The sequence below is a fragment of the Homo sapiens genome, chromosome 14 (genome assembly GCF_000001405.40).
Source record: "Homo sapiens chromosome 14, GRCh38.p14 Primary Assembly".
Lineage (NCBI taxonomy): Eukaryota > Metazoa > Chordata > Mammalia > Primates > Hominidae > Homo > Homo sapiens.
In genome coordinates, this window is record NC_000014.9 from 58,459,230 (window position 1) to 58,472,950 (window position 13,721).

At 36.0% G+C, this 13,721-nt stretch overlaps 1 protein-coding gene and 1 pseudogene across 34 annotated transcripts in view; both read left to right on the forward strand.

The window, feature by feature from the left end:
• Positions 1 to 13,721, forward strand: part of KIAA0586 — a 134,691-nt gene that overhangs the window by 31,830 nt on the left and 89,140 nt on the right. For 33 of the 34 annotated variants that reach the window (NM_001244189.2, NM_001244190.2, NM_001244192.2 and 30 more), the window contains 6 exons: positions 614 to 841; positions 1,757 to 1,931; positions 6,606 to 6,800; positions 8,506 to 8,693; positions 11,384 to 11,494; positions 12,970 to 13,050. In NM_001244189.2, the coding sequence (NP_001231118.1) occupies positions 614 to 841; positions 1,757 to 1,931; positions 6,606 to 6,800; positions 8,506 to 8,693; positions 11,384 to 11,494; positions 12,970 to 13,050 (978 nt within the window). The remainder of the gene's footprint in view (positions 1 to 613; positions 842 to 1,756; positions 1,932 to 6,605; positions 6,801 to 8,505; positions 8,694 to 11,383; positions 11,495 to 12,969; positions 13,051 to 13,721) is intronic. The other variant, NM_014749.5, reaches the window with a different exon arrangement.
• Positions 4,655 to 5,192, forward strand: HSBP1P1 (heat shock factor binding protein 1 pseudogene 1; annotated as a pseudogene).

Below are 13,721 nucleotides of genomic sequence, written 5' to 3' on the forward strand. Positions count from 1 at the left end.
GAAATATATTTTAAAACTTTGTTGTTGAAGAATATATATTTCTAATGAAGTTATGAAAAATTTATTTTAGGTACTATATGGTACACACACAAAAAAAAATTGAACTAAGAGTCAGAAGATTTGGAGTCTAGTTTTCGCTCTACAGCTAACTGGCAATGTATCTTACTCTTTTGCAATGAATCCCATGTAAAGTATATTTGTTTAAACTTTCACATAATTTTAATTTATATTTATCTCAGTTTTGTTACAAAAGTGTTTGCTTTTTTTGAAATGTATTTTTAATTTTTTAAACTGTTAGCAAAATTCATATGGTTCAAACATCAAAAAGTATAAGAAGGTTTGTCATGCAAAGTTGTCCTGCTACCCCTGCAACCCTTCTATTATTTCCCATTCCCCACTCCAAAAGATACTAGTCTTTTTAGGGTTTTGTTTATTTTTCCAGAGATTTTTGATTTTTATATATCCAATAAAGCCAATATCCTTTATTTTTAATGCATTTAAAACTGCTAAACTGTATTTATATAGCAGCAAAAAATAAATTCTAATACTTTCTGATGTGAAAGCATTACTATTTGTAGACATTTTAAGTAATTTTAACTTTGGTTATGTTAAGGATGAACTGTCAAGAACAGATTATGAACAAAAAAGATTTGATCAGAAGAATCAGAGAACCAAGAAAGGTCAGAATATGACTAAAGATATTAGAACCAACACACAAGATAAAACTGTCAACAAATCTGTAATTCCAAGAAAACATTCTCAAAAGCAAATAGAAGAGCATTTTAGAAATCTACCTATGAGGGGCATGCCTGCTTCAAGTTTACAGAAAGAGAGAAAGGAAGTAAGATCCTAATCTGTTCTTTTAACATAATTGTTGTGTTATAATTGATCATTTCCTTTAAGAGATAAATAATGAAGCGAATGTGAAGGTGTTTTAAAAATATGAAGGACTATACAAATGTAAGCTATCTTTACACTATTGATACTTAGGGTTTTGGATTTATAATGTGAAAAGCACTGAACAAAATAGATAGTTCCTTTCTTATGAGATCTCACACCCTGGCATCATGATTTTGTAGTTATAGCAGGTATAAAGGTATATCTAGAGATCATCTAGTCCAAAAACTAGATTCTCTAGTTTATGGTACTCAAAATTTTCATTTGCGTGTGTGTATATAGTTTATTTTTCAGTTTAACAAATGCATGTTTAGTGCCTAGTATATGCAAGGCGTGGTACTAGATGGTATGGAGGAAATTTTTTTGACTGCTGTAACTAGGCTATAAGTTTCTAAGTGCCAAACATGGATTGTTGAGCAGATCAGTAAAGCATCTAATTCAATGCTTATACTTAGTAGATTCTCAGTAAATGCTCCCTTTCTGTGACATTTAGATTATGGTTGAAGGTGGGTTCAGAAATATATAAAATTATTTAAAGGTTAAGGTTGTTGTATTTTTATTGTACTGGAGTATAATAAATATGTAAAATGTGTTTAAATGTTTCTTGTTGGTGCTGAAAATATACTTAGTAATGTAAAAATTTTCATGTTTCTTAGGTGGATGATTTTTATATTTAAAGCTTTTCAAACTAATGCTTGAAACCTGTTATCTAGAATTTAAGGGCTGTTGAAAACAGAGGTTATTTTTTACTTAATCATTCTTGTTATAATACTTAAGCTAGCAAAAGGAGGCTTTAGAAAAATGAGATAAGTGTTTGATGACTGTTTTCATGGTGAGTTGAATAACTTTGTACACACAGGGGCTTTTGAAAGCAACCACAGTAATACAAGATGAAGATTATATGTTACAAGTCTATGGAAAGCCAGTTTATCAGGGCCATCGAAGCACTCTTAAAAAAGGACCATATCTCAGATTTAATTCTCCATCTCCTAAGTCCAGACCACAGAGACCAAAAGTAATAGAACGAGTTAAAGGTAAGGAATCTCATTTTTAATGTTTAATCTCATTTCTTAATAGTATCAGTTTAATATGTAAAGTTTCTTTTTGCTTTTTATTTATTGCTTATACGTGCCATTCAAGTTATATGATGCTTGGGGATGGAAAAATAATTCCTCTTAGGAGAGGTAGGAAGAAATAGACCAACATTTTAAAAAAGACACAAGATAGGAATAATTGGGAAGAAATGTAGGATTAAATGGCATCTTCAGATAAAGCATCATAAAATTTTTATTTAGGAGAAAATGATTTTTTTTTTAATTTTTTTTTTAGACAAGGTCTCACCCTATCCCCCAGGCTGGAATGCAGTGGCACAATCATGGTTCACTGCAGCCTCGACCTACTGGGCTCAAGTGATCCTCCCCTCTCAGCCTCCCAAGTAGCTGGGATGACAGGTGCACACTACCACGCCTGGCTAATTTTTTTGTATGTTTTATAGAGACAGGGTTTCACCACATTGCCCACAGTGGGTGATGATGAATCTTGAGCATCTAAATTATAATCTAGGAAAGTAGACATTTTCCTGAAGACCTAGGTGCATTATGAACAGAAAGATCAGCCATTTGCTGTTTATTATAAAAGTGTTGATGAGCACTTTTGCAGTTTGGTTTTCAAAGAGACTTAGGTAGAAAGGTGAAAACTTTTTTGTTGCTTTTGTGCACAACTGAAAACATCTTCATGTATCACTGTGTATTTTGAGTCACATCTACTGTTTCACTGGTACTGTGTATTTAAATACAACTTTTGGTTATATACTGAGTCTGTTGACTTTGGTTATGTATTATAGTTTCTCAGCTTCTGCTTAGCAATCAGTAAGCTACAGCTGACAATATGTGATAACTAGTAGATACAAACCCATTTTCCTCTCTTATCCTTTCTAGAAGTTGGAGCTATGGTGGTTACTTTGGTTCCCTTTGCTTTCTAAAGGTTATGCAATCATATACAGTGTCAGGTTATATAGAAATTTTACTAATTTAAAATAGAAAGCATATAGCTTATGGGTGATATTTATCCTAATGGATGGTATTTACCCTGAAGTTTTCTCTTATTTAGTGTAGTTTTGCTTTTTTTTTTTTTTTTTTTGAGACGGAGTCTTGCTCTGTCATCCAGGCTGGAGTGCAGTGGCACAGTCTTGGCTCACTGCAACCTCCACCTCCCGGGTTCAAACGATTCTCCTGCCTCAGCCTCCCGAGTAGCTGGGATTACAGGCATGCGCCACAATGCCCAGCTAATTTTTTTTTTGTATTTTTAGTAGAGACAGGGTTTTGCCACATTGGCCAGGCTCGTCTTGAACTCCTGACCTCAGGTGATCCACCCGCCTCAGCCTCCCAGAGAGCTGGGATTACAGGCGTGAGCCACTGTGCCCGGCCTAGTGTAGCTTTGCTATTAATTTATATGGGGGGTTTTGAAAGTCTTTGCAAAAAATAATTTGAGGCTTTAAAATGCTTTCAAATCCAAAAATAACTTTATTCAATAACGCTTTTAATGATCAGAAGTGATTAAGAGCCTGTATTAGTTCATTTTCACACTGCTATAAAAAACTACCTGAGACTGAGTAATCTATAAAGACAAGAAGGTGTAATTGACTCACAGCTCCACATCTCTGGGGAGGCCTCAGAAAACTTAGAGTCATGGCGAAGGGAAGCAAGGCATGTCTTATATGGCAGCAGGAGAGAGGGAGCAAAGAAAGCCATGCCCTTTTAAAGCATCAGATCTCATGAGAACTCATTCACTATCACAAGAACAAATTAGGGGAAACTGCCCCCATGATCCAGTCATCTCCCACCAGGTCTCTCCCGTGACGCATGGGGATCAATTTGAGATGAGATTTGGGTAGGGACACAGAGCCAAGCCATATCAGAACCTAAGGACTTATGCTTATCCTAGGGCCTCAGTACCTGCCACTTCCTCTGTCTGGAGAGCTCTTCGTTCAGACACTTGCATGGTTCTCTCTCTCAATTCTTCCGTCTCCGCTCTTAGATGATAGCTCCTTAGAGTGCTCTACCCTGACCATTCTATTCAAAGAATTATCTCCTGTTCCTCTCCATCTCCTCACTCTGCCATATTGTTCTTCATGGCACTTCACATTTCCTGTGTTATATTTTTATTTGTTTGTTTTATTATTTATTTGTCACTACTGGACTGTAAGCTCCATGAGTACAGTTGGTTTAGTCACCTCTGTATTCCTTGTGCCAGAAACAATGTTTAACACATATTAAATGCTGAACAAACATTTTAAATAAACACTTAAGAAAAATATTCATTCAATAGAATGACTATCAGAGAACAAGATGAAAGAATATAGACATGGTATTACAATTTTTCTTCCTGGGGTCATAAACAAAAAGAAACTATATTTAAAAGTCTGGATGTGTAGGTTGGGCACAGTGGCTCATGCCTGTAATCCCAGCACTTTGGGAGGCTGAGGCAAGAGGATTGCTTGAGACCAGCCTCAGCAACATAGCTAGATCCTGTCTCTACAATAAATTAAAAAAATTAGCAGGGCATGCCTGTAGTCCCAGCTACTTGGGAGGCTGAGGTGGGAGGATCACTTCAGCACTTGAGCTTAGGAATTCAAGGTTGCAGTGAGCTATGATAGTGCCACTGCACTCCAGCCTGGGTAACTGAGCAAGACCCTGTCTCTAAAAAAAAAAAAATTAGATACATTAAAAAATTAGATACATAGAAACACCCACATGTGAAGTGGAAGTGTAGGTGACGGTCTGAGACATCACCACCAACCTGGGCACTGGGGAGATGGCCAAGACTGACCCCAAGACCTTGCAGGACCTCACCTCGGTGGTGTAGACACCCCTGCAGCAGATGCAAGATAAATTTCAGACTATGACCAGATAATTGGGAGAATTGATGATATGAGTAGTCACATTGATGATCTGGAGAAGAACATCACAGACCCCATGACACAGGCTGGGCTGGAAGAACTGGAAGGTGAAAACAAGATACCTGCCACACAAAAGAGTTGAGGGTTGCTAATAATTTATATAATGGAATCTGGAACATCATTTTTCTGAGCCAAGAGAAGACTGAATGGCTTTTTTCAGCTAACTACTGTGTGTAGACAGGTTTTATATTATAAAGTGTGCATTCTTATCACATACTATATAGTTAGTTTATAAAGGTTTATCCCCCAGTTTCTTGAATGTGGTATCTTCACATCTTGGACCTTGGTCAGTTGTACTATTAATTATTAAAAACTAAAACTTTGGCAGTTCCTGCATTTAAAAAAAAAAAAGCACCCACATGTTAAAAGTAAAAATGTAATGTCAGGAAATTATTAAGAAAATATTTTAGCCTCTTCCTTTGCCCGCTTACTTTATTCTTTACTTTTTTGTGTGTGTGTTCCATAGACATTTATTCACTTCTCCAAAGAGACATAAAGTCAAATTTTTAATATTTTAAGATTTAGGATATAATGGCTATATGTGTATGTATACATCATAGGAACAGAAAAAAATGTACAGCAGTCCCCCCTTATTCATGGGGGATGTGTCCCAATACCCTCAATGGATGCCTGAAACTGTGGATAGTACCAAGCCCTAACATGTACTATGTTCTTTTAATCTGATAACTGAGATGGTAACTAAGTTATTAATGGGCAGGTAGTGTCTACAGTGTAGAGACCCCAGACAAAGGGATGATTCATGTCCTGGGCAGGATGGAGCAGGACGGCATGAGATTTTATCGCGCTACTCAGAACAGCGTACATTGTAAAACTTATGACAGCCGGGCATGGTGGCATGCGTCTGTGGTCTTGGCTACTCGGGAGGCTAGGGTGGGAGGATCACTTGAGCCTGGGAGGCAGAGGTTGCATTGAGCTAAGATCGCACCACTGCACTCCAGCCTGGGTAGAGTGAGACTCCATCTAAAAAAAATTAATGAATAATTTTTAAATACTTATGAATTGTTTATTTCTCAAACTTTCCATTAATATTTTCCAGCCAAGGTTGATCCTGGGTAATTGAGACAGGGAAAGAGAAACCACAGATAAGGAGAGACTACTGTATAATGATATTAATTAGTAAGGTTTAAGTAAGTATAGAATTTGATTGTCTGTACATAATTTAAAAAGATAAAGCTGGTTATTCAGAATTATGTTGTGTGTAAAGGTGTAATGAGAAAATGAAAATCATCAATTCCAAAAATGATCATTAACTTTTTCGTACCTATGGAAAAAAATTTAAAGAATTCAAACATTGTTGGAATATTCTTCAGAATCTTTATTTAACATTTTTTTCTAGTTATTATATCTATTTTGTCACAGTAGCTGTACAAGTTGTATGTCTATTCAGGGGCTGGCAACTGTGGCCTACACGTGAGCTGCCTGTTTTTATAAAGTTTCATTTGCCTCTAACTGTGTTCATTCATGTATATATTGTCCATGGCTTCTTTCATGACACAACAGCAGAACTGAGTCATTACAGCTGAGATCACGTGGCCTGCCAGACAAATATTTACTGTCTGGCCATTTAAGAAGTTTGCTACCTCTGGTCTATATATTACTTCTGTTTTGGGGCCTTGTAACCTTATATAGAATTAAGATTTTTCTGTGAAGAGCTGTTGTATTTCTAGATGTCTGGATAGTAGATATTCTAACAATATTTTAAAATATCTGCCATTGGTGATTATTATAGGCACTAAGGTAAAGTCAATAAGAACACAGACTGACTTCTATGCAACAAAACCTAAGAAGATGGATTCTAAAATGAAACATTCTGTTCCTGTGTTACCTCATGGCGATCAGCAATATTTGTTCAGCCCAAGTAGAGAAATGCCTACTTTTTCAGGTACATTGGAAGGTCATCTGATTCCTATGGCAATTCTTTTAGGTAAGAATCAACAAAATATGTGGGATGGATTTTATTTTATTTATTTATTTGTTTGTTTGTGTGTTTATTAGAGACGGGGTTTCACTGTGTGGCTCAGAGTGGTCTGGAACTCCTGGACTCAAGCAGTCCACCCACCTCAACCTCTCAAAGTGCTGGGATTACAGGCGTGAGGCACCGTGCCCAGCCATTGAATTTTAAATTCTTATCAGCAGTAGCAGAACTTACAAAATGGTACTAACATGATAGTCATCTACCTTTTCTTGTAAATGTTATTTGTTTTTGTGGGGAAGGCCTCACAATGTATTTTATGCTGTGTAATAGCAATCTCTGAAATGATGGGTTCCTGCTGTAGTTTCACCAATAGGAAAAATTCTTTTGGTATGTTATATTATTGTAGATGAAATGAAATTTTAAACAATATTTTGGCTGGGCACAGTGGCTCATGCCTTTAATCACAGTACTTTGGGAAGCCGAGATGGGAGGATTGCTTGAGACCAAGAGTTTGAGACCAGCCTGGGCAACATAGCAAGACCTTGTCTCAAAAAAAAAAATTAGCTGGGCTTGATGGCTAACACCTGTAGTCCTAGCTACTCTGGAGGCTGAAGCAGGAGAATCCCTTCAGTCCAGGAGTTTGAGGCTGCAGTGAGCAATGATTATGCCACTGTACTCCAGCCTGGACAACACAGCAAGACCCTGTCTCTTAAAAAAGAAAGTTTAAATATGTCATGGACATTCATAATAATTCAATAAGTTTGATTATCTTGTTAATATCATTATGTCTTTGGGGAAGTATTAAGGTACTTTTTTTTGTACTTTTGAACTAGGCTATCATAAGTGAAAGCTGTGTGGGTGTGTAATCTAAGCCAATAGTTGTTTATTTACTTATTTGCCTTCTCTCTGAGTCTTCATGTTAAAAATTGAACAGATCATTTTTGTCCTCACACCAGCTGTTCAAGTCTAATTAGCTCTTTTTTCCCTTTAGTGTCATTGCTGTTCTTTTGTTTTGATTAACAATTTAAGTATGAATATTTTTTAATGTAAGAGACTTTTTTATTTTTGATATTATGGGTTAATTTCATGTCAACATAATAGCTCTCTGTTTAAACATATCTCCTAGTAATAAAATAGCTCACACTTTTAAAGTTCTTACTGTGTGCCCGGTACAGTTCTGAGCACTTTACATATATTCTCTCATTTAATCCACCCTATAAAGCACATGGTAATATACAAATTGTATAGCTAAGAAAACTGAAGCACAAAAGGGTTACATAATTTGTCAAAGGCTACACAGCTAGAATGGTGCCAGGATTCAAACCCAGGCAGAGGCAGTCTGGCTTTATAGTCTGTGTTTTCAACAAGTACACTGTACTACCCCTCTTTACTTTGATATGTAGAAGTCAAGTGGGACTTTGGAAGTGAAAGTTTTTGACATTTTAAAATGTGGATAGTATTAATAGCTTTCTATTAGCCTTTATTTTGAGGTTTAAATTAGATAGTGATGTGAAGCGTTGAGTACATATAAGTGCTTAATAAAAGTCACTGGGTATGGTGAGTATGTCGACAGTGCTGATGATGGAGGGAGGGGTGATTGTCAGATAGGGCTTTTTTAAATATGAGAATATAGCCATTAAGATCCAGATGGTATATTAGACTTTTCCCTTTTTTTCTGAACTAGTTGACTTATTTTTTCTCCTAAACTTCTTAGGACAAACCCAAAGTAATAGTGATACCATGCCACCTGCTGGAGTGATTGTCAGCAAGCCACACCCTGTAACTGTGACTACTTCTATTCCTCCATCATCTCGAAAAGTAGAAACTGGAGTAAAGAAACCTAACATAGCCATTGTAGAAATGAAGTCAGAAAAAAAGGATCCTCCTCAGCTTACTGTGCAGGTATGCCAGGGTGCATGAGTAGAAAATTTTAAGGAAGAAAAAATTTTTTTGCTTAACGTTAGTACGGAAATCCATTATATTGCTTCATAAAAATATTGCTTTTGATCATGACTCTTTTTTTTAAATTTATTTTTATTTTTTAGACAGAGTTTTGCTCTTGTCGCCCAGTCTGGAGGGCAATGGCGCAATCTCGGCTCACTGCAACCTCTGCCTCTTGGGTTCAAGTGATTCTCCTGCCTCAGCCTCCTGAGTAGCTGGGATTACAGGCGCCCGCCACCATGCCCAGCTAATTTTTTGTATTTTTTTTTAGTAGAGATGGGGTTTCATATGTTGGCCAGGCTTGTCTCAAACTCCTGACCTCAGGTGAATCCACCTGCATTGGCCTCCCAAAGTGCTGGGATTACAGGCATGAGCCACCATGCCCCGCTGGCTCTGTTATTTTTAAAACTGTGATATTAATATGATGTTTCTGTCCTGTTTTGCATGATTTAAGCTGCTCTTCTAGGCCAATGACTTATATACAAGTGGCTTGGTGATATTCCAAGGGGAACAATTGAACTGTGTATTATAATTAATTTTAAAAAGTTAATATATGTGACTTATATAATTAATACTTCAAACTTTACACTAACATATGTTAGAAGACTTGAATGAATACAAGACTTCAACAGGCTCATGTGGGAAGAAACCCTTTGACATTTCACAAACATCTACCCTTCGGCCTGGGATCCAGCTGTAGAAGCTGAGGTCTTCACTAGGTCTGGACAAAGGTGAACATGAGTATTTACATGCGACTTTCTATTGACCAGTCAGGAGGCAACTGTAGGAAAGCATTCATGAACTGTGGTAAACTTTTTGGCTGATTTACTCCAACTCCTGTATTCGTCTTACCATCCTTGCTTACTTACAAATAATTAGAACACTCCAGTCCTTAGACTGCTCCAAGGTTCCTCTTTTGATTGAGCCAGGACAAATGAGTTTTCTTGGGCAACTTAGTATGCCCTCTGGGAAGAGAGAAGACTTGCCTCATTCTTGGATCCTGATCACTGAGGAGAAGATAATCCTGGAGCTGTCGGATGCCACCACATGAACAGTCAACAGGCTCTTAGTACTGATTTTTGACTGGACACTCCTCCCTGAACAAACGAACTATCCATTTCTTCTGCACAAATTTATACAGAACAGCCTCAACCCACCAGCCTGAGAGATTCCCAGGGACTTAGAAATCACCCATGTAGCTCCACAAACACTTCGTTCTCATAGATTGACTTCCACCCTGCAGCTAAAATTGATAGTGTGTTTTCACAGCCAAGTTGTTAGGGCTGAGGCAGTCAATGGATCTCAGGAATATTCCCGGCCCTGTGCTTGATAGGAGCAAATGCACAATAAAGCCCTGGCTGCAGAATCTTTCAACTTCCAGTCATTCTTGCAGGGCAGGGAACTCCCAACATGAACCCAAGTGTGTTCCTCTCTTATAGCAGTCTTTGGGCATCCTTCTGACAGCGTAGGCCCACTAACCCAGTGGTGCAGCAGCTATGGAGGCTTCGGGAGACCTGGGGACACTTCAGCCTGGACAGCTCCCTGAGCCAAGTACAAACCCGGTCAATGTGTATTGAACGAATGAGCATCACTAGCACAGTCAGTCCATGGAGGAAATTAGAGGATCTAGATCAGGGGGCAAAGAATCCTGAATTAAAAGGCAAACAACACACAGTAAGAACATATGAAACGAAGATGCTAGTAAAGCATTAATTTTTAAATATAAAGATCTCTATAAATTAATAAGAAAACACAGATCCAAGTCTAGAAATGTTCAAAGGACATGAATAAGACTCTACAAAAGAGGAAGTACAGTTTATCAGCAAGCAAACTAAATAAGTTTTGCCAGTAACCAAGATAATGCAAATTGAAATAACAATAAGATGCATCCATTTAAAAACTATTATTGCTGAAACAATCATATTATCTAATTTTGGTGAGGGTTGGGTAAAACTTAGACTTAATTATGTTTTTGATGATGTAAATAGAGGTTGTTAGGATTACATTTCACCAGTACTTCCAAGAATCTTAAGTATTCGTGTCCTGTGGCCCAGAAAGTTAATCCAATATCTGGCTATCTAGTATAGTGAATTAATTTAGGGTTTAGGAAGAAAATGTGTGTGTGTGTGTGTGTGTTTATGTGTGTGTAAGTTTTTTTTGTAGTGATATATATATAATAGTGGAAAAATTGGAAATTTCCTAAATTTTTCCAATTGAAACATAATTAAATAATTAAGACATGTTTGTTGAAATGTTATATAGTCATTTAAAAATATAATTATGAAGTCTATACAAAAGCATGATAAGTGTTTATGGTTCTTGTAATCAAAATGAAAAATCAAGAATGAAAACTATTTTAAATTTTAGTTATGTATAAGTAGATAGTAAAAGACAAAGGGAATAGTGAAAATGAAGTCATCTTAAGATAGAATTTTGTGTGTTTTCCTCTTTATTTTTCATATTTTATAAAATATGCTTTCATAATTAAAAAATTTTGTTATCCATTGGGTTCACAATAAAAACTTAAAGGGCATGCTTTGTTTTTATGTATATGTGTATACACACACACATATACATGTATATACACATACTCATAAAAATATTTGAGTAAAAATGATAAACAGAAAGCTGAATGTTGTATTCTGTTTTAGGTATTACCCAGTGTAGATATTGACAGCATTTCAAATAGTAGTGCTGATGTCCTTTCACCTCTGTCTAGCCCCAAAGAAGCATCTCTTCCTCCTGTGCAAACTTGGATAAAGGTATATTTCAGAATTTTATCATATTATTTTGAGTAATGTCTGACTGTAGATTTTAACTAATTACTCCATTTAAAGCCTTTTATCATAATGATAACTTATAATAATTTAGATTTTGAAGAAAAGATTGAAAACAATTTTTTTTTTTTCAGTCAGAGTCTTGCTCTGTCGCCCAGGCTGGAGTGCAGTGGTGTGATCTCAGCTCACTGCAACCTCCGCCTCCCGGGTTCAACCAATTCTCCTGCCTCAGCCTCCTGAGTAGCTGGGATTACAGGTGCCTGCCACCACGCCCGGCTAATTTTTGTATTTTTAGTAGAGATGGGGTTTCACCATGCTGGCCAGGCTGATCTTGAACTCCTGACTCCAAGTGATCCCTCTACCTCGGCCTCCCAAGTTCGGGAATTACAGGCGTGAGCCACCACGCCAGCCCAAAACAAATTTTGAATTGTTTATGAACTTGAAAGTTTGTTTCAGATCCTTACATTTATAACTATTTGGAAAGTGATAATCTTTAGTGTAACTTTTTGGTAATTTAAGTTGTGAAACTCTCATGTGAAGAAAGAATTTCTGTCACTTTGGTGATGAATCTTTGATTTACATGGGAATTATAGATATCCTAAATGAATTTTATAGTGACAGTTGGGAGTTTATATTTTGGAATGTTACCTTGTTATCCCACTGTTGACATGATACAAAAATATGCATTTCTTCCTGGCATTTATTTGCTTTTGAATAATGAAGTTATGGCTTTACTACACAGCAAAATAGCACTGTAACTTACCCCAGGTTTTGTTTATTGTAAGCAAACTTGGCCAAGGGTACAGTTTTAAAAGGAGAGAGAATACCAGCAATCTTTCATGATCATAAGTAATGAAATAGAACTGTCCGTAAGTGACATTTGTGCTTAATTGAATTTTTTCATCAGTATTTTTTTTTAACCTTCTGTTTATTGAAACTTCTGTGATAACAAGCAATAAATTTTTGGACTGTTTATCATTCTGCTGTCAGTAAGAGGCTATTGCATGACTACATTTTATATAATGAGGCCTAATGATTAGATTTGTAAAATGACTATTTTGTTTTTTTTCCTGAATTATTTGATTCTGTATCCATCTTCATGTGAGTTCATATATGTTTATACTTAGAGATCTACACATGTAAACACTTTCCTTTATCTTAATTCTGGAAGAGAAGTCTCAATTATATCAACCTGTTGATCAATTAAGTGATATTGCTGATGGAGTCCTTTACAGAAAAACAGCTGATTAATTTTTTAAAGCTATTGAAATGTTGACCTAATGGCTTGGGGACTAGCTTGGATTTCATTTACTAATTAAATCAATTCTGAATAGGGTATTAAAATGATTAAAAAGGACCATGTAATTATAAGCTTATACTATAGGTGGAAATATGATAAATTACTTATAAATTTTAAAAGTGTTAAGCACAACAAAAACTTTCTGAAAATGCTTTCTTAGACTCCAGAAATTATGAAGGTAGATGAAGAAGAGGTGAAGTTTCCAGGAACTAACTTTGATGAAATAATCGATGTCATACAGGTAACAAAGCTTAGAAACCATGAGAAATTATTTTTCTACCGGTATTTTTCCAGGTTGTTGACTATCTTTGGACTATCAATATTATGTTACAGTGCTTTGAGATACTTTCTTTTACTTTTGAGTTAAATATACTTTTAAAAATTATAAAGTTGTTATTCTAGAATGTCTTTAATCTATATCACCTATCTGCCTTCATGAAGCTTCATGATTATCTGCCGTTCCCCACCTAGATTTTGTCTATCTGTTTCCTGCTTTCTTCTTTCTTTCCACTTCCTTTGGCTTCTTTTCCTCCAATTTGTCTTTTTTTCTTTCTGTTAATTTTGGTTTTTGGATTCATGGTGAGGTGACTAGTTAATTGATATTGAGAAAAAAGTTGTGAGAAATCTATAATCCAAAGGAATATCCCATATGGAAGGAAGAGTTATAGAAATGATAGAAATAATGAAATAGAGGGAAAAATAGGTGGAAGTAAATTATAAAGGATGGGACAAAAGATCATAGAACATTGAAACTACTTGACCATTATGTCATTAGACTTTAAAGAACACATTTGATCAAGTTTCTTTGACTTTTAGAGCTAAGATCAGTTTTGTTAATCATAAAATGAAATCCAATTTTAGAATATACAGAGGTGTGCAGTATATTAATGTTATTCGCTCACAGATATGTCT